Source organism: Homo sapiens, chromosome 5 (assembly GCF_000001405.40).
Source record: "Homo sapiens chromosome 5, GRCh38.p14 Primary Assembly".
Lineage (NCBI taxonomy): Eukaryota > Metazoa > Chordata > Mammalia > Primates > Hominidae > Homo > Homo sapiens.
This window is the reverse complement of record NC_000005.10, coordinates 53,403,484-53,423,399: the sequence shown is the minus strand read 5'-3', so window position 1 is coordinate 53,423,399 and position 19,916 is coordinate 53,403,484. Positions and strand designations below refer to the sequence as shown.

At 39.8% G+C, this 19,916-nt stretch overlaps 1 pseudogene, besides 1 other annotated feature; it reads right to left on the bottom strand.

The window, feature by feature from the left end:
- Positions 607-901: a silencer, noted in NCBI's record as "tiled region #15081; HepG2 Repressive non-DNase unmatched - State 24:Quies, and K562 Repressive non-DNase unmatched - State 24:Quies". NCBI's record gives its function as "represses a minimal TATA promoter and a strong SV40 promoter by Sharpr-MPRA in HepG2 and K562 cells {active_cell/tissue: HepG2 | K562}" and the evidence as "EXISTENCE:reporter gene assay evidence [ECO:0000049][PMID:27701403]".
- Positions 9,136-9,559, bottom strand: RPS19P4 (ribosomal protein S19 pseudogene 4; annotated as a pseudogene).

Below are 19,916 nucleotides of genomic sequence, written 5' to 3'. Positions count from 1 at the left end.
GGGAAAGTTTGAAACTTGCCAAAATAGACTCTCCCATTCCTCCCTAAAAGTCAGTACCTTGTGATATCATATTGTCAGCAGAATTACTTGGGCATAGTTCAACAGAATGAAATGTTTTGTTATATTTTTCCTCCCAGTCATAGGGTTCATAACCTCAGTAAACTTTGACTCCCCTCTCTCTCCGTCGCATTGGCCTTCGTATCAGGTAAGTCACTAAATCCTCTACCTCTTTGGTCTGTCTCTCTCTCAGGATTTCCATTGCCTCAACCTCTCTCAAGCTTTTGTCTGGATCCAAGCTTTTGTCTGGATCATAGCATTTGCCCTGTAGCTGGCACCCTCCCTCTGTCTGGTTTCTCCCTGCACCAATCCAATGTGTATGTTGTTGCTTTTTAATCCTCACTAAAACATCACTAAATCTTCCCTAAACAATCACCCTTCCACTATACAACCTTCAGTGGTTCCTAAGGCCCATTGATCCTTTAGTCTTATTTGATGGTTCTCTGCACGCACTGCCCTGGTATATTTTTTCAAACCGCTGGCCAGTGGAGAAGCTCTCCTTATGGTGGCTTGGTTGCTATGTGAACACAACACATGTACACTGGTCTGTGATGCCTTTCTTCCTCGTCTTCCTACTCATTCAGTGAGAACCTGCCAAGTCTCACTTCCTTTCTGATGACTTCTGCCTGTGGGATTACTCCCTCCTGAGAGTTCTTACAGCAATTGTCTCTCTGAGTTGGTTTCTGAGCTTATGCTGCTGCATACAATTCCTTTACTTCATACATGTTTTTGTCTTGCTTCTTTACCAGGACTAGAGACTCAGTTCTCCAGCAGAAGTTCTCCAAGTGTGGTCCCTGGACCATAACATTAGCATCACCTGAGAGTTTGTTAGACCTGTAATTTCTTAGATTCCACCCTAGATTTGCAGAATTAGAAATTCCAGGGGTAGGGGGTAGCACTCTGTATTTTAATTAACAAGCTCTCCAGATGATTCAGGTGCGTGTTCAAATTTGAGAACCAGGATTGTGAAAGAAAGAGACACATCTTAGAGTTCTTGGCATCCTCCACAATGCCAGGACAAAGCTGAAATGTGGAAGTTACTAAAATCCTACCTAACTTGAATTTTAAGACAAGTTTTCAATGACAAGCAAGAAAATAGAAATGCTTTCAAAAGCTATGAAATTTTAAGAAATAAAAAGCTACAATTTCTTACTGATTGCAATGAAGGATCGAATAGCTTACGAGTTTAATGGTAAGCCTCTTGAAGAGAATTTCTTCTTTTTTTTTTTTTGCTTTTTCCTTTCATTAGAATTTTAGTGTTGTCCAGCACTGAGTAGTCAAATGATGCTATTCAGCACACTGTTTCCAACATCCTTAAAACACGAAATCTGTAGTTTAGAGATGATTTTTTTCTTGGAAGGTTGTGTGGTTGGTGGCCATATGTGAGCATGGAGGATAATTTCCTTTTCTTCTCTTTCCCATTAAAGTCCTTTATTACAGTTTGGAACTCTCATATAGAGATGAATGTTGCTGTAGAATAAAAAAATCATGATGTACAGAAAAATGGACCCTTTGGGTATATCTATACACCAAACAGAGGGGAGAATAAATTTAACTTACTGTTTTTAAAGAAATGTAAATATTTCATTGTTTTCTTCTCTGCCCTTGTCCAGTCAAATCGTATACATCCCCAAAATTTATAGACTTTAGTGCTAAGGGAGCCTTAACCCAGTTGTATTTTTTCCACACCCCTCAAAAGAGCATTGTACAGTTAGGGATGAACCATATCAAGTCCCTGGCTCTAGCAGGCCTGTGATTGGGCACTGAGCCAATCTGATAATACTTGCACCCATGAGCCCAGGTAGATGATAGAGGAGTCAAAGAGCTACCTTAACTTCCATTGGTAGTAGTCAGTGAGCCTGGTTATTTTTTTGCTTTCTTTTTTTTTTTTTTTATGTTGTTGTTAAAGACAACAGGTTAGTCAGTGTGGCATTGGAGAAAAGGTTGTGCTTTGAAGTCAGACAAACCTGGGTTTAAATCCCTGTTCTGCCTCTCTAAACTAGCCATTTGTTTCATGTTTGTTTTTCCTTTTCTAATGAGAATCCTAATACCTATCTGCCCTGCAGGGTTGTTGAAAGAGGTATTGATAATGTATGATGTACATGGCCCAAGTTAGATGCTCAGTAAGTGAAATTATTATTATTAGTCTCTGACTAACAATTACTGTTTGTAGTTCTTTTGTTTTTAATTTCAAAGACATAACTTGAATGAAGTAATCCCATTCTTCGCTTTTTTAATTTCAGAGAGCTCTGCTTCTAATTGTTCTTTTCTGATAGTAACTGGGTTGCATTGATGTAAAGTGTATTCAATGATTTTTTCTTTTGCTTTTCCTCTGTTCTTTTTTATTGAAGCTGTACCTCTTGAGTTTCTATGAAGCAGGTGTGTATCTCTATCAATACTATGAAGTCTGTCTAGACCTTCCTTTTTTCATGAGATTAGTATTTGTTGAGTGGTCTCTGCCAGGCTCTGAGGATGCATAAGTGTGCACAGGGAATAGTCAGAGAGCTGAAGTAAAAACTTGTTGTGACTAGAATAATCCTATTGTCCAAATTGTCCCTATAAACTCAGACTTAGGAGTTGTTGAAGCAGGTATATGCCTACATGGTGAAATTTTCCAGGACTAAATAATAGGACATTTCCCCATCTGTTTATAGTAGACCTGGTGCTTCCACCCTGAGAATCAGTGTTTAGTCAAGGCCTTGACTCTTTTATTTGCTGATGAAGGAGAATGTGTGCAAAAAGCTACACTTTTCCCCTGCAGCATTCTCTGAGCACATTAGCAAAATTTCAGTAACAGATCAGCAGCATTACCTTAGTAAAGAATAGGGAACTGACAGAATACACTCATGAAAGATTTGCTTTCGTTGGGGAGGCCATCTGGAGAGGACTGCCAGGACAAAGGCAGCCTGGGACAGGGTGGAAGACCTTGGGCCATTAGGGTCTGTGGTCACCTCCAGGATGACCTCCAGTGATTCTCACTTCTTGTTAGTCACACTCTGTGTTGTTCTCTCCCATTTTGAATAAGGGTTACCTTAGTAACCAATAGTACATTGTGGAAATGACTCCTAAGTGTGACTTCCAGAGGCTTCTGCCTTACTCTATGAGATCCCTCAGATCAACTTCTCTTACGGGAAGCCAGCTGCGATGTCATGAGGACACCCAAACAGCCCCATAGTTTCTTGGGGTAAGGAACTGAGGCCTGCTGCCAGCAACCAGCACCAGTTAGCAGTATGTGAGTGAGCCACGTGGGAAGTGGATTCTTCAGCCCCAATGCAACCTTCAGTGACTGTAACCCCAGCTGACGTTTTGACTCTAACCTTTTGAGGGAGTCTGAGGCGGAACCCACCAAGCTAAGTTCCTAGCCCACAGAAATTGTGTGAGGTAATAAATAATTATTATTTTAAGTCATTAAGTTTTTGGATAATTTGTTAAACAGCAATACATAACTAATACAGAACCCAGCACATGGTGCTAGATTCCTGGAAGAAAAGAGCAACGTTAAAAGAAATATTAAAAGCGTAGATCAGGGAGGCCAAAGAGACATTTTCTTCACGTTTTGCCCCAAAGTGGTATAGTTTACACTTTATAAAGGGGATGTAGTCATGGGGCTGGGAATGGTGGGAGAAAATGAATTCAATAACTAATTCCCAGAGCACCTGGATGAAAGGAAAAAAAGGCAAAACGATGAATGTTAGTTTGGGAAGGACTCCTGGATATGAAGGCTTGGAAATGGATCTTTCAACATCCTGTGAAGTTGTGAAAATTGTTTTGTACTTGAACAACCCTTGGATTTCATCAGACAGTAGGACCACAGTAATGTGGGTAAAAAAAAGTCTCCTGAGATCCTTGAGTCATTCTTTTTTTTCCTCGTACAAGACTCTAGTTAAGGCTACCAAAGACTATCTCACCTTTTACAAGTCAACATGCCAATGAAGGCAGCAGTTTCAAGGCTTGGCAAAAGGTTTCACATTCATTTAAACAAAAGGGGCTCTTTCTAAAATTATCTCTAGCTATATTAAACTATGAATCATGTTTGTACCTCTAGGAAGGACTTAAGTCACATATTAGCATTTAGGGAAGAAGGCTTTGTATTAGAGAGTAAAAAATTTTTAAAAAACAAATTGCTGTCTTACTACATGGTTTTATAACTGTCAACTTTTTATGTGTTTTCAATTGGGGGAAAGGATGAGTTTCTTTGGAAAGGGGCAAGGCAGGAAATCAGTAATGATTCATACCACTTTTTCACATGCTTCTCTGATGAGTTTTAATCACAAATCTGGGTCCACTTGTGTAACAAAAACATTAAAAGAGGGTGTTTTAAACTACGTCTTTTTATTAATCATGTATTTGGTCTTGTAAACAATACACGCAAGCACATCCTTGTTACGTCAGTTGGAAAACAGTGATTAACTAGCTGTTTAGGAGACGGGAGTATCTTGCAATTTTATATGCACTTCTCAAGTAGCTGTGTGTTTTCTCTTGGGTGATTTAATTTGATTTAGGCAAATTAAATTTTAGAATTTAATTGATTTTTAATTTTAATGATCTCTCTCTTCTATGCTTTGCATTTAATGGCATTTTTTAGGACTGCCACAGTAGTCTTTTGAAAAAAGGGCACATTTACTTGAAAGAAATATACTTTGTTATTTCTGAGTCCCTTTGAAATCGCTGAAGATGGTTTTACTTTAGCTTTCCCTTCAGCCTAATTCCCTTTTCCCCTTTGTTTCTATTGGGATGAGGTAATCCTGGGTTTGTAGAGTCTTTTGTGATGGAAATGGCTATGACCACACAGACGCGGCATAATATTTACTTGGAATAAGAGAAAGAGAAATATCAATAGTGCTGCTCACCAAGCATTTGAAAATACGTGTGTCTTTCATTTCCAGAGAGAAAAATACCACTTTGCATGTTCATTATTAATTTGGGTAACTGAAATATAGTGTGTGTTCATAAATTGTGAATCAAAATTGAATGAGAAGAGGAGTGAAATTTAAAAATTAATTATGGCAAGGTCTGAAGTTATGAAGGCCAGATGTATTAACGATGCATTAATATAGTATAAGACATTCATAAGTAAAATAAGGAAGTTATATGGAGCTGAACAAGCTCATCGAACAAATAGGGGTGTATGTGAGTACAGACCCTAGCTTCGTTGTTGTAGCCTGATTCTGAAGAACAGGTCAGCAACCTTTTTCTGTAAAGGGCCAGACAGAAAATATTTTAAGCTTGGAGGCCATAGGCCTCTATCACAACTACTCAGTTTTGCAGTTGTAATAGAAAGCAGCCATGGACAATATGGAAATGAATAGATGTGGCAGTATTTCAATAAAACTTTATTTATAAAAGCAGGCTGCATGCCAGATTTGACTTGGAGACTGTAGTTTGCTGCCTCCTATCCTACAGAACATAATTTTTCTTATTTACTTACTTGTAGACCAATGCATTGGAAAGGGAGTTTGAAGCAGCTTACAAGTACAGGTCGAGCATCCCAAATCTGAAAATCTAAAATCTGAAATGCTCCAAAATCTGCACCTTTTCCAGTGCTGACAAGACATCCAAGGCAAATGCTCATTGGAGCATTTTGGATTTTGAATTTTTGAGTTTCAGATGCTCAACTGGTAAGCAAAAGGCAAATTTCCCAAAATTTGAAAAATCCTTAAAAATGTATATAGCAAGGTCAAGGCACAGTAGGACCTGGAGAGATTTTGTGGGTAGGAATGGAGTGGGCTCCAGCCTATAGTAGATTGAGTACATCTATTGCTAACATCCGGGAATCACTTGGGAGCAAAGTCAGTGTCTGTGGACCATTCAGTTTTCATTTGAGTGAATATTATATGTAACCTGTGCTGAGGATCTGCGTAGATGCCCTTCATATCAGCATTGGTGAGAGCCTTCCAGGTGGGGCCCTTGACACCTAGAGGGGTGATGGTTGAAAAGAGAAATCTCCTACTCTATACCCCAGTGTGACTAAACAGGCCTAGCTCATCCCCTCAACCCCTGCCACTCCACTCACCAAATGGAACAGAAATTAAACACAGCCTTTTTAAATGTATATATCCTTTGTCCCTGTGCTTCCACTTGCAGGAATCCATCCTAAGAAAAATTTTAGGGAAGCTGCTAAAAACTGATATGTAGGCTGGGTGCGGTGGCTCATGCCTGTAATCCCAGCACTTTGGAAGGCCAAGGTGGGCGGATCACGAGGTCAGGAGTTCAAGACCAGCCTGACCAATGTGGTGAAACCCCGTCTCTACTAAAAATACAAAAATTAGCCAGGTGTGGTGGTGTGTGCCTGTAATCCCACCTACTCAGGAGGCTGAGGCAGGAGAATCCCTTGAACCCGGGAGGCAGAGGTTGCAGTGAGCTGAGATTGTGCCACTGCACTCCAGCCTAGTCGACAGAGTGAGATTCCATCTCAAAAAGAAAAAAAAAAAAAAAGAAACAAAAACTGATATGTAATATTCAAATTTCAGCTTCATTTATTAAACCAAAAATTGGAAAGAAGATAAATATCCAACAGAAGGAGAGTAGGTAAGTAAGTTCTGGTATATATGAGATGAAATAATATATTATCTTTTAAATGGTTTTTGAGGACAATTTTATGACAGGGAAGTGCTGAATATAATTTTAAATGAATATAGAAGAATGCAATATGATCATAATTTTGTGGAAACAATATTGCAAAAAGACTAGAAGAAAATATATTGTGGAGGAGATCACTAGCTATCTACCAGAATCCCTTCTCTTCTTCCTGATATATGGGCACACTACATTTCCCAGCCTCCCTTGCAGTTGCATGTGGTCATATGACTAAGTTCTCTCCAATGGTTTGTGAGCATAAATGATGTATTCCATGTACAGGTTTGACTCATAAAAATTTCTCACACATGTTTTTCTATGCCTTTAAATTAAAAAAAAAGTTTTACTGTCTTCAGTTGATTTGGATGTTGACACTCAGGGCAACCTTGGAAGTCACATGATGAAAATGACAGAGTGGTATCAGCTTAGGATCCTGAATAGCCACAAAGAGATGAGTTGTCCTGCTGACCTGAGTGCTCATCTAGGACTGTTACTTGAGGACTGTTACTTGAGGGAAGAAATACATGTCTATGAAGTTCAGCTACCATGGTGATGCCTGATAGAACAGATGGGTGTGCATGTGAAACACCCACTGAGGACTTCCAGAAACATTTGGTTGGGGGGTGGAGAAGGCATGTTTTATAGGAACCCAGGGACTTTTATTAAAAAATGGGAATATAAACCAGTAACCTTTTAGCTGCTGTTCAAATCATCCCTTGCACCTGCCTGCTGATGAGGTCTGAGAAAACTTGAGCTACATGTATTATTTGTTTGTTTATTTATTTATTTATGTATTTTTGAGACAGGCTCTCATTCTCTTGCCTGTGCTGGAGTGCAGTGGTATGATTTTGGCTCACTGCAACCTCAACCTTCTGGGCGCTCAGTTGATCCTCCCACCTCAGCCTCCCAAGTAGCTGGGAAGAAAGGTGCATGCCACCACACCCAGCTAACTTTTGCACACATTGTAGATAAGAGGTTTTGCCATGTTGCCCAGGCCGGTCTCAAACTCCTGGACTCAAGCCATCCCATCCCACCACCATGGCCTCCCAATATGCTGGGATTATAGGTGTCAGCCACCATGCCCAGTTGTACATGCATTTTTTTTAAACTTATTTTTAAAATATGTATTTAATTAGGAAAGTTAGGAAAAATACCAGTGTATACATAATGAAATGGGGAGGTATAAATAAATCTAAAAGTGTGGGCAGAAAAAGAACAAATTTATATAGAAGGTAAAAACCCAGGAAGATGCTGTACACGTGAGCCATTGAAACCTACACAGTTTCTGAAAATTGAGCAAAAGTTTTACTCTGATTTTCCTACCAACAAAAGTGATTTGTTAATTGATTAATCCACCAGTCTCTTATCTCTGCAAATATTTCCTTCAGCAATTATTTCTGAAAGAAATTTCTCAATGTCTCTTTATATAGGAAACAGCACCCTCAGCAATATCCCTTAGAAAATACCAGAATGGGATTTACAGTGCTGCCTCAAGATGAACTGAAAGGACATTGAATCAAAACAAACTTTAGGAAAAGAGAATCTAAAGAGGGATTGGGAGGGACAACTGGACAATGGGACATCGGTGATGACAGCCCCACTTGATCCAGGAATTAAACCTGTGTCCAGAAAAAGCTTTGGGATTTCTGTCTTTCAAATAGTCTTTCATTCATATCCTTGCTCTTTGAGGCGTTTTACAAGTTGGGCAGCAGGTGATTTTCAGGAGCTTTCTCAGTAACTGCTATAGGCTCCCATCTTCTTCCATTTGCCCACATGTCTGCAATAACTGCTGGAGAAAAATAACTTCTCTATTGCCATCTGAGTCTTGAGGGAGTTCTTTTCAAGAACAAAATTTAACTTAGAACCATAGTTATAAGGGATTCTGGGAAATGCATTTCTGAGTTTCTCCCTTGTGGTGCTGAGCAGGGCATAGAAAGAGGAAGATATAGTGCTGAGTGGATAACAGATCATCTGGCACACTTTGGTATATGGGGCAGACTTCCAGTATGGCAAGCCACCAAACAGACAGGCAAACTGAATTTACCAACAATAGGTAGTTATAACTTTTTTTTTTTTTTTTTTTTTTTTTTGAGACTGAGTCTCTCTGTCACCCAGGCTGGAGTGCAGTGGCACGATCTCAGCTCACTGCAACCTCTGCCTCCCGGGTTCAAGCTATTCTCTTGCCTCAGCCTCCCAAGTAGCTGGAATTACAGGCACTCGCCATCATACCAGACTAATTTTTTTATTTTTGGTAGAGACAGGGTTTCACCATGTTGGCCAGGCTGGTCTCAAACTCCTGACCTCAAGTAATCTGCACGCGTCGGCCTCCCAAAGTGCTGGGATTACGGGCTTGAGCCATGAGGCCCAGCAACATTTTTTGATTAAAAACATCTGATATGTTGTGGCTCTGTCCCCACTCAAATCTCATCTTGAATTGTAGCTCCCATAATTCCCACGTGTCATGGGAGGTAATTGAATCATGGGGGTGAATTTTTCCTGTGCTGTTCTAATGCTTCTTGTTGGCAGCTGCCACCTGTCTGGTGATTCTGTCCAGATCTCTCGTCCCTGAGGTGTCACTTTGCAGCCCCCATCTTGGTCCTTTTCCACCATTTTCAGCCCCTCCTGGGCTTGGAGGACCCAGCGGGCCATTCTCTTGGAGCCTCGGCTGAAGTGGCTGGGCATGACGCTTTTACTCTGATGTCCCGCATAGATCTTGGTCATGGAGTCAACCCCAGCATCACCTGTAGGTACGGGTGCTGTGCTGTGGAAGCAGCTCATGTGTAGAACCAGTTTTCATCACAGGGAGGAAGCTCTTTGTGCTTGGCCAGCTTGACGGTGTCCACCCATCCAGGGACTTTCAGCTTCCTGGACTTTTTGAGAATGGCTGCCAGAGCTCTAATGAACTCCTGCTGGTTCATGTTCTTTTTTTTTTTTTTTTTTTTTTTTTTTTGAGACAGAGTCTCGCTCTGTCGCCCAGGCTGGAGTGCAGTGGTGCGATCTAGGCTCACTGCAAGCTCCGCCTCCCGGGTTCATGCCGTTCTCCTGCCTCAGCCTCCAAGTGGCTGGGACTACAGGCGCCTGCCACCACACCTGGCTAATTTTTTGTATTTTTAGTAGAGACGGGGTTTCACCGTGTTAGCCAGGATGGTCTCGATCTCCTGACCTCGTGATCCGCCCGCCTTGGCCTCCCAAAGTGCTGAGATTACAGGCATGAGCCACTGCGCCCAGCCAGTTCATGTTCTTTACAGTAATTCCCCAGGCATTGTGCAGCCTCCGTGCTGCCAGCCAGGGGAAAGGGATCAGATGGTTTTATAAAGCGCAGTTCTCCTGCACACTCTCTTGGCTGCTGCCATGTAAGATGTGCCTTTGCTCCTCATTTGCCTTCTGCCATGATTATGAGGCCTCCCCAACCTAGTGGAACTGTGAGTCCATTAAATCTCCTTCCTTTATAAATTACCCATACTCAGGTAATTTATAATTACACATACTCGGGTATGTCTTTATAGCAGCGTGAGAATAGACTAATACAACACCTCAAAAACAAAATTATATGCAGAAATTAAAGCAAAATTTTATTAGAATTCTTAAAAGTGTATGTGGCACGCTGATTATAGTTAATAATGTATCATATACTCAAAAATTGCTAAGAGAGTAGATCTTAAATGTTTTCACCAAAAAAATGAGGTGATGAATATGTTAATTAGCTTGATTTAATCATTTTGCAATGTACACATAATATTAAAACATCACATTATACCTCACAAATATATACAATTTTTATTTGTCATCTAAAAATAATAATAAAAAAAACAATTTAGCTGGGCACGGTGGCTTATGCCTGTAATCCAGCACTTTGGGAGTTTGAGGTGGGCTGATCACCTGAGGTTGGGACCTCGAGACCAGCCTGGCCAACATGGCGAAACCCCGTCTCTACCAAAAAATACAAAAATTAGCCAGGCATGGTGGTGGGCGCCTGTAATCCCAGCTACTCAGGAGGCTGAGGTGGAAGAATTGCTTGGGAGACAAGAATGAAACTCTGTCTCAAAATAAATAAATAAATAAATAAATAAATAAATAAATAAATAAAAATTTAAAAACCAGATATCGGTGACCTCCAGAGTGTTCACTACTTTAAGAATGTAATCTATTTGGCATTAGTTTCTGAGGTGCTAGTGCCTTATGTCTAAATATTCACAGAAATGGCTAAATCAAATGTTTGCTTGTGCAAAAAAAGTTATCTATATATAAATGCACAGGGAGAAAGATACACACCAATCTGAGAATAAAAGTACATCAGGAGAGGGGAGTAAGGTACTGTAGGACCAAAAGTAACTTTTATATAATTTACATTATTTAAAAATTATAAAATATAATTTTTTGTGTATTAATTCTATAATTAGAAAGAAAAAATAGAGCTATCCCAGGATGATTAGTACCTAAAACTAATTTCTGTGATGCCGTATTCTGTGACAGCTCTTGAAGTCAGCAAATGATGGAGAGCTTGACTTCTACAATTTCTGCATTAGCATGATATGGTATATGACTTTGCTTATTATTTTATGCTCCTAGGCCTGTTTTCCTGCTTGTAAAACAAGAGGATTGGAATAGATGGTTTCTAAGATCCTTCTCAGCACAGAAAGCCTATAATTCTAGGTTTTGTTGGAGTGAAATACTGGAAGCATGGAACAGTTCTGGGGGTGGGGAGATGGTACTCCAAGGATGGTCTCTGGGAAGCAGGAACTGCCTTGAGGCTACTAGGAATTCAGAAAGTGGAAAGGTGGGGAGTTGAAGCAACTTCGTATCTATTAAAATTTCACAGAAGTTCAGCCTTTTCCTATGAGGCACTTGGGCTTGCACAGGGAAACCTGTCCTAATGTCTATTAACAGGGTTTAGTTTTAGCTGGTTTGCAACAAATTGCTCTATGGGTAAGTTATGGTGGGTATCCTTTCTGACTCTTTGGGTCTATGTTACATAGATTGTTGAATATAAATTCTAGCCATATGTCATACTTAGGTGCATCCAAAGAGAGATACTTTTTCCTTACATCCATTAGGAAGAATCTAGATGTGGAGTCTTGAGGTTTTCACCATTTTCTACTATTCAGGGATCAAATTTTGCTAACAGTTTATGTTAAAGCAGAGGATCTACCCTTTTAGGGACTGAAAGACTGAAAGTGAATGTGAATATCCTTCAAGTAAAAGTGAAACTAGACGAATTATTTATGCAATTTAAAGAGAAGAAACACATAAAGACTTTATAGCATATCAGTTGAAAGAAAATCTCTTAGTAAAAAAGCATATCAGCACAAAACAGCCTTAGTTTTCTGTTACTTGTTATAAAACATAATACATTTTCACACCACTTCTTGGGTAGTAGTATTTATTTTGACATTTATTACACATCATTTATTTCCTGAATACTGCATGTTATACAGCAGAGTCTATTAGAGATACTGTGCTTTAAAAGCCCCAGAAAAATACTCAGAAAGATGGAAGACACAGGTATAGGAGCTGAAAAGTAATTCTGTATGTTCACAAATAGAAATGGTCAATATTAGGATGTTAATTTTCCCCCATTGACATAAATTCAACCCAAACCTAGTCAAAATACAAGTAGAATTTTTTTTGATAAGCTCATTATAAACTTTATGTGAAAATGCAAAGGATCTAGAAAAAAACAACAATTTAGAAAAAGATGAACAAAATTGGAAGACTTACACAGCCTAATTTCACGACTTATGATAAAGCTATGGTAACTAAGATGGTATAGTCTTGATGTAAAGATAAAAATAAATAAATTGAGACTCTGTCTTCCAACAACAACAACAACAAAAGATTAATGACTGCCCTTCTGGATTTCAGACTTGTGCGGGGCCTGTAGCCCCTTCATTTTGGCTCATATGTCCTATTTGGAATGGGAGCATTTATCCAATGCCTGTAACCCCATTGTGTCTTAGAAGTAACTAACTTGCTTTTTATTTTACAGGCTCCTAGGCAGAAGGAACTTGCCTTGTCTCAGATGAGACTTTGGACTTGGACTTCTGGGTTAACATTGGAATGAGTTAAGACTTTGGGGGAAATGTTGGGAAGGCATGATTGGTTTTGAAGTGTAAAAAGATCATGATATTTGGGAGGGGCCGGGGCAGAATGATATGGTTTGGCTCTGTGTCCCCACCCAAATCTCATCTCAAATTGTAATCCCCATAATCCTCACGTGTCAAGGGAGGGAAATGATGGAAGGCAATTTGATTTTGAGGGTGGTTTCCGCCATGCTGTTCTGATGATAGTGAGTGAGTTCTCATGAGATCTGAGGGTTTGACAGTTTCTCCTTCACATGCTCTCTCTTGCCTGCTGCCATGTAAGACAAGCCTGCTTCCCCTTCTGCCATGACTGAAAGTTTCCTGAGGCCTCCCCAGCCATGTAGGAACTGTCAGTCAATTAAACCTCTTTTCTTTATAAATTAAAAAAAAAATCAATGGAACAGAATAAAAAGTCTAGAAATAGACTCATGCATATACAATTGATTTAAGAAAAGGTATCGAGGCAATCCAATGCAGAAAGGATGATCTTTTCAACAAATGGCACTGAAGCAATTGGCTAGTTGTGTACAAAGAAGTGAACCTTGACCCTTACATCACATCATAAACAGAATTTAACCCCAAATAGGTCATAGATCTAAATGTCAGTACTAAAAACTATAAAACTGTTAAACAAAAACATGTGAGAAAATCTTTTAGGTGGTGAGCTTCTTGTGGCTAGGGACCCACCCCATCACTCTTCACTTGTTTTTCTCTCTTTTCTTTTTTCTTTTTTTTTTTTTTTTGAGACGGAGTCTCGCTCTGTCGCCCAGGCCGGACTGCGGACTGCAGTGGCGCAATCTCGGCTCACTGCAAGCTCCGCTTCCCGGGTTCACGCCATTCTCCTGCCTCAGCCTCCCGAGTAGCTGGGACTACAGGCGCCCGCCACCGCGCCCGGCTAATTTTTTGTATTTTTAGTAGAGACGGGGTTTCACCTTGTTAGCCAGGATGGTCTCGATCTCCTGACCTCATGATCCACCCGCCTCGGCCTCCCAAAGTGCTGGGATTACAGGCGTGAGCCACCGCGCCCGGCTTCTCTCTTTTCATCACGTACCCTGGCTCATAGAAGGTATCCAAGGAATGCTGGAATTCAATGAGATCTTGCTTTGTGGCTCTGAGAGTGCTGATGGTCAGGGAACCTAGGTTTGTGCGCTTATATTTCAGATCCCCGGTATATTCCCCCAAGGTTTGGCTTCACTCCTTTTATACTGTACTGGTGGAGAATGGGGAGTTTCAGAAGCATCAACCCCCACTGGGTAATTCTTTGATGCCCCTCCCCTTGGGATTTGCCTACAGCATTTCTAACCTGAAAGAATGTGACCTCCAATACTGGGGCTCCAATCAGCGCTAGTAGATCCTACCCTGGTTTGAACCCAGTGATGCATTGCTCCCTGGCCACCCATACTGAAACCCTGAGAAAACACAGTGTGCCAGAGCACTGAGGTTTATTGGTGCAAAGGTGGCTCAGCTCACGGTAAGGGTTGTTCCAAAAGAATAGAGTGAAGGGCACTTAAATCACCATAAGCAAGCAAAATATTTATTTTTAAAATATGCACTGGAAGGATTTGATACTATTTTTATTAGAGGAACAAACTCTCTTAATTTCCTGTTCTCTGAATTAGAGGCCTCCAATTCATTTGGCTCATAACCTAGACAAACCCTGGGAAGATATACTGCAACTGGGAACGCTTTTGACTTTTCCTTCTTTATAGCCTCGCTATTATGCTACCTATTTTCTAAGCACTGGCAACATTTTCATGGAAAACTTGAGATGATCTAGTCTGGGTGGAGCCAGAACTAGAACCAGACCCAGGTGAGTCCTTGTGGAAAACTGTTGTCATTTAACAACATAGGTCCTACTCGCAACCGGAATACAGTTGCAGTTTTAGCACGTGTTAGAACTGAATGGTTGGAGATTAAGAAGGGTCACCTTGCTCAGAGCACACCTTGTACATCTGTGAACTTTAGATTCATGCCTTCTTAGTAGCCATCACGTCTTTTTCCTTGATGGATTTTCATTCTCTTCCATTGTGGTTGAAGCACTGGTTTGTCTCATGGCAGTGGGTGCTTTACGTTCAGTGACACTTTTCTTCATGGAATACCAAAAGAGTATTGCCAGATAAGCATCGTTTGATTCAGGTCAAGATTACTGTAAGCTAGGTGACTTCACCCAGAAGATGGACTGCTCTAGGATCTGGAGTTACTTTAGAACACCCTCCTACCACACTCAGCACTTCACCGATTCTATTTCACAAACTATAATGGTCACATATGACAATCATTTAAGCAAGAGCTGTGATAGTTACTATGTTGCTATATTGGAGGAATTCTTGATAATCACGTAATTTATTCCCATTTCCAAAATGACCATACCTATATGCTTGGACATTGTATAAAAACATTATATTTGAGGGTTAAATTAGCAAAATTATCTTCAAACAAACCTAGATTTGTATGTGTTACTTAATGATAATGATGGGGATACTTTCTGAGAAATACATCCTTCAGTGATTTCGTTGTTGTGTGAACATTATAGAGTGTACTGTCACAAACCTAGATGGTATAGCCCACTATGACCCAGGCTATATGGTATAGCCTATTGCTCCTAGGCTTCAAACCTATACAGCATGTTTCTGTACTGAATTGTAGGCAATTGAACACAATGGGAAATATTGGTGTATCTAAATGTAGCCAAACATAGAAAAGGTTCAGTAAAAATACAGTACAAAAGATAAGAAGTGGGTTGGGGGTGGTGGCTCATGCCGGTAATCCCAGCACTTTGGGAGTCCAAGGCGGGTGGATCACCTGATGTCAGAAGTTCAAGACCAGCCTGGCCAACATGTTGAAACCCCATCTCTACTAAAAATACAAAAATTAGCAGAGCTTGGTGGCAGGCGCCTGTAATCCCAGCTACTCGGGAGGCTGAGGCAGGAGAATAACTTGAACCCGGGAAGCAGAGGTTGCAGTTAGCCAAGATCATCCCATTGCACTCCAGCCTGGGGGACAAGAGCAAGACTTCATCTTAAAAAAAAAAAAAAGATAAGAAGTGGTATATCTGTATGGGATATTTACTGTGAATGGCTTGCAGGACTGGAAGTTGCTCTGGGTGAGTCAGTGAATGAGTATTGAGTGAATGTGAAGGCCTAGGACACTACTGTTCACTCCTGTAGACTTTATAAACACTGTACACTTAGGCTACACTAAATTTCTAAAAGATATTTTTCTTTCTTTGAGAATAAATTAACCTTAGCTTACTGTAAGTATTTTACTCTATAAAGTTTTTAATTTTTTAAACTTTTGATGCTTTTATAATAACACTTAGCTTAAAACTCATAGTGCACAGCTATATAAAAGTATTTTCTTTCTTTATGTTTCTGTTCCATATGTTTTCTTCTATTTAAATTTTTTACCTTAGTTTTTCTTTTGTTTTGTTAAAAACTAAGACCACACACATACATCAGCCTAGGCTTACATAGGGTCAGGATCATCAATATCGCTGTCTCCCACCTCCACATTTTGTGCCACTGGAAGGTCTTCAGGAGTAATACCATGCATGGAGCTGTCATTCCCTATGAGAACAATACCTTCTGGAGTACCTCCTGAATGACCTGCATGAAGCTGTTTTACAGTTAATATTTTTTCATAAGTAGATGATGCACATGGTAAAATACCAATAAAAAGTATAGTATAGTAAATACATAAACCAGGAGCACAGTCACTTATTGTCATTATTATATACTATACATAATTGTATGTGCTATACTTTCAAAGGACTGAAAGCACAGTAGATTTGTTTACACCAGCCTCACCACAAACATGTGAGTAATGCATTGTGCTATGACTCAGAGATGGCTGCAAAGTCACTGGGCAATAGGAATTTTTCAACTCCATTGTAATCTTGTGAGACTACCATTGTATATGTGGTGTATCATTGACCAAAATGTCATTATGCAGTGCACGACTGTATATACATATATGAAATGCACATGTACGTAGGTTTTTTTTTTGTTTGTTTTTACATCTTTCGACAGGCTTCATAAAGTCAAGATCTTTTTGTCTCTCCTCACTGCCCACTGCTCCAGATACTTTAAGAGTAGCTAGCACATTGGCCCAAGTCAAGCAGAAGAAGGGCTGAATGTTTCATCTGTGGATTTCAAAGAACTTAAATTTTATACTACTTCCACATTCTCTGCTACTGCTATAACATTGAGGCTTTTTTGTAAGCTAGTGTTCAAAAATCACGGCTAAGAAAGCAATGTATGTTGATAGGTTCTAATGTGAACTAGGGGAATTCCACCTGAAGTTGGTGGTGGCTTTTATGGTGCCTGACTTGCCTTCAGTGCTGGAGTTTCACCTTGTGAATTAAGATCTTCTAGGGCTGCTATAACAAAATACTATGCACTGGGTGACTTAAACAACATACATTTGTTCTTCACAGTTCTGGAGGCTGGAAGTCCAAGGTCAAGGTGCCAGCAGGGTTTGATTTCTGGTGAGGGTTCTCTTCCTGGTTTGCAGATGGCTGCCTTCTTGCTGTGTCCTCATGGTGGAGAGAGAGAGGCCTCTGGTCTCTTTCTCTGTACAAGGGCATCAATCTCATTATGGGGGCTCCAACTTCAGGACCTTATCTAAACCTAATTACTGCCCCCCTCCAAAGGCTCCACATCTATTCCATCACATTGGGGATTAGGACTTCAACATATGAATTTTGGGGTTACACACATATTAAGTCCATAGCATACTTCTTGCCCCTAGTTGCATGTTGGTTCTTTCTATGACTTTACTGAACACAAAGCATAGCAACCTGAATAAGATCGTAATTGTGCTTCTCATCATTGATCCCCAGGAATAAAAGGCCTTGCGAATTTTAATTCTTATAAATTTTGCCTTAAAAGAATATTATGCGGCTATGACTAAAGTCTAGCATCCAGAGAGGTCTATGTTAAGAATTCTTCAAAATTAAATTTATTGGGGATACCCTGAATAGCACACTTGGCAGGAGTTATATTTTTAAACTGTGTAGGCTGGGAGGATTTTACTGTTTACTTTTGGTATAAACAGATTTTTATCCAGCACTTACCAGCAACTTGACCTACATTTCACATGGTACAACAAAAAATTTCAATGAGAAATAGAAAACAAGAGTACTGGATTTAAAGCCAGGAATATTTAAGAGAGGGGGTGTTTTTAGGTACTTCTATTTACTGTCTTAAAAATGGATGTAATACCAATGAAGGTTCTAGGATTTTATTTCTGCCCACATTTAAAATGTTCTGAATACCACCAATGCATGTGGTTTACTTTCATAAAATGTTTACAGAGCACAGTTAAACAGCATCCAATTTCTGGGGTTAAACTCAGAATATTACGTATTTTACTGAAGTAGAGTGTGATCTCTTGAGTAAAGCTGGACAGTAGGGGCATTTATACTGTGCTTTTAAGTTCTAAGCCAATTCCATTAATTGTATTGATGCTCCAATCCGTATTTTAGTTATAACCACTGTGGCAAATGATATTTATTGTTCTTTCATCTTTCTATTTTGGGTGAAGGACAAATATTGTCATATATTTTGAAAACCTTTTGGAAAACCCAGAAAGGAATAGACTTCTTTTTCTTCCACTGTGCCAGGCCTCTTGGTACAGTTTTTGAAACCCAGTCAATATTTTACCATTAGAGTACATTTCAACTCAAAATAGCTGCATTTTGGCCGGGCATGGTGGTTCATGAACAGATCACCTGAGTTCAGGAGTTCGAGACCAGCTTGGCCAACATGGCGAAACCTCATCTCTACCAAAAATACAAAAATTAGCCAGGCATGGTGGTGCACAACTGTAAACCCAGCTACTCGGGAGGCTGAGGCAGGAGAATCACTTGAATCCAGGAGGTGGAGGTTGCAGTGAGCCGAGATTGTGCCACTGCACTCCAGCCTTGGCTACAGAGTGAGACTCCATCAAAAAAAAAAAAAAAAAAAAGCTTATTTCAAGGGCTCAATAGCCTCATATAGATAGTAGCTACAATGTTGAATAATGAAGAGCTAGAAGAATAAACATCAAAAATATTAATAGTTGTTATCTATAGGTTGTACAATTATGAATTTATCTCTTTGCTTACTCATATTTTCTAGATTTATAATAAACATATGTTACCTTCATAAGATGAGAAATCTATGCTTAATTTAAAATATGTCATAAAGCAACTTTATATGGTGAAACTCTCATTTGTTCATACCTCTAAAAATTCTAGTGGAGAGAGATGTAGTCTGTTTTTAAGACAGTTGAAGTTTGTGACTTCAGTACTACAGGCATTTCAGAGAACTGTGTGTGTGTGTGTGTGTTTATGTATATAAAGATCCTGTATGAAGTCCTTTCTGTGGACCCTGGCAATCTCTACAGTCATGGAGGTGTAGTGGCCCTGAGGCACAAGAACAAGCCTTTTGGTGATGATCATTAGCCTGAAGTTGTAGTCCTGAATTTTGATCAAATCCATTTTTCTTCATCAGAGTATTTTTACATTTGTCAGCCCAGGACGACCTACTGGACCAAACACAAAATCTGGGATAGATAGTTCTTGGGTTAGTTGTAGAGGTTAAGTGTGAGCATTTCAGAGTATTTGGGGCCAGATTCCCATCAAAAACAATCCGTTGGGAATTTGGAGTACCCAACTGTTAGCCAAGTTAGGGTCTAGTTCAGTATTCCTATGAAATGACACACTGGAATTATTCTGTCAGAGGGAGCTATGGAATGTACCCCACCACATGATTAGATAGCTCTGAACTATAAACAGTGGAACTGTTGGAATGCCAAATGGAGTCACATGGAGATAAGTGACACTTTACATCTTAGTGGCATCACAACAAACTACTATATTCGTTAAAGATTTACACTTTGGGTACCTTGGCCTATGTAAGTGATGGCCTAAAATGATGGCCTAAATCATTTCTTGTTCCCTTAGTATTTATTATAGTAAAATTAATCATGATAAAAATCATTTGACATTAATGCCCATGTCATAAGTACTTATCAAATTTCTGCCCCATGATTCATTATTAATTTTTCAAGATATTCTCAGATGTTCTGGGGATAGAGTTAAGATGTCCCTGGGATGATTTTCCAAGGTTATGACTAGAGCAATTTGGTCCAATCAGACAAAGTCTCATGTGCCTGTAAGCATAAAGCAACTTCCAAGACACATGCGCACCAGACCACTGG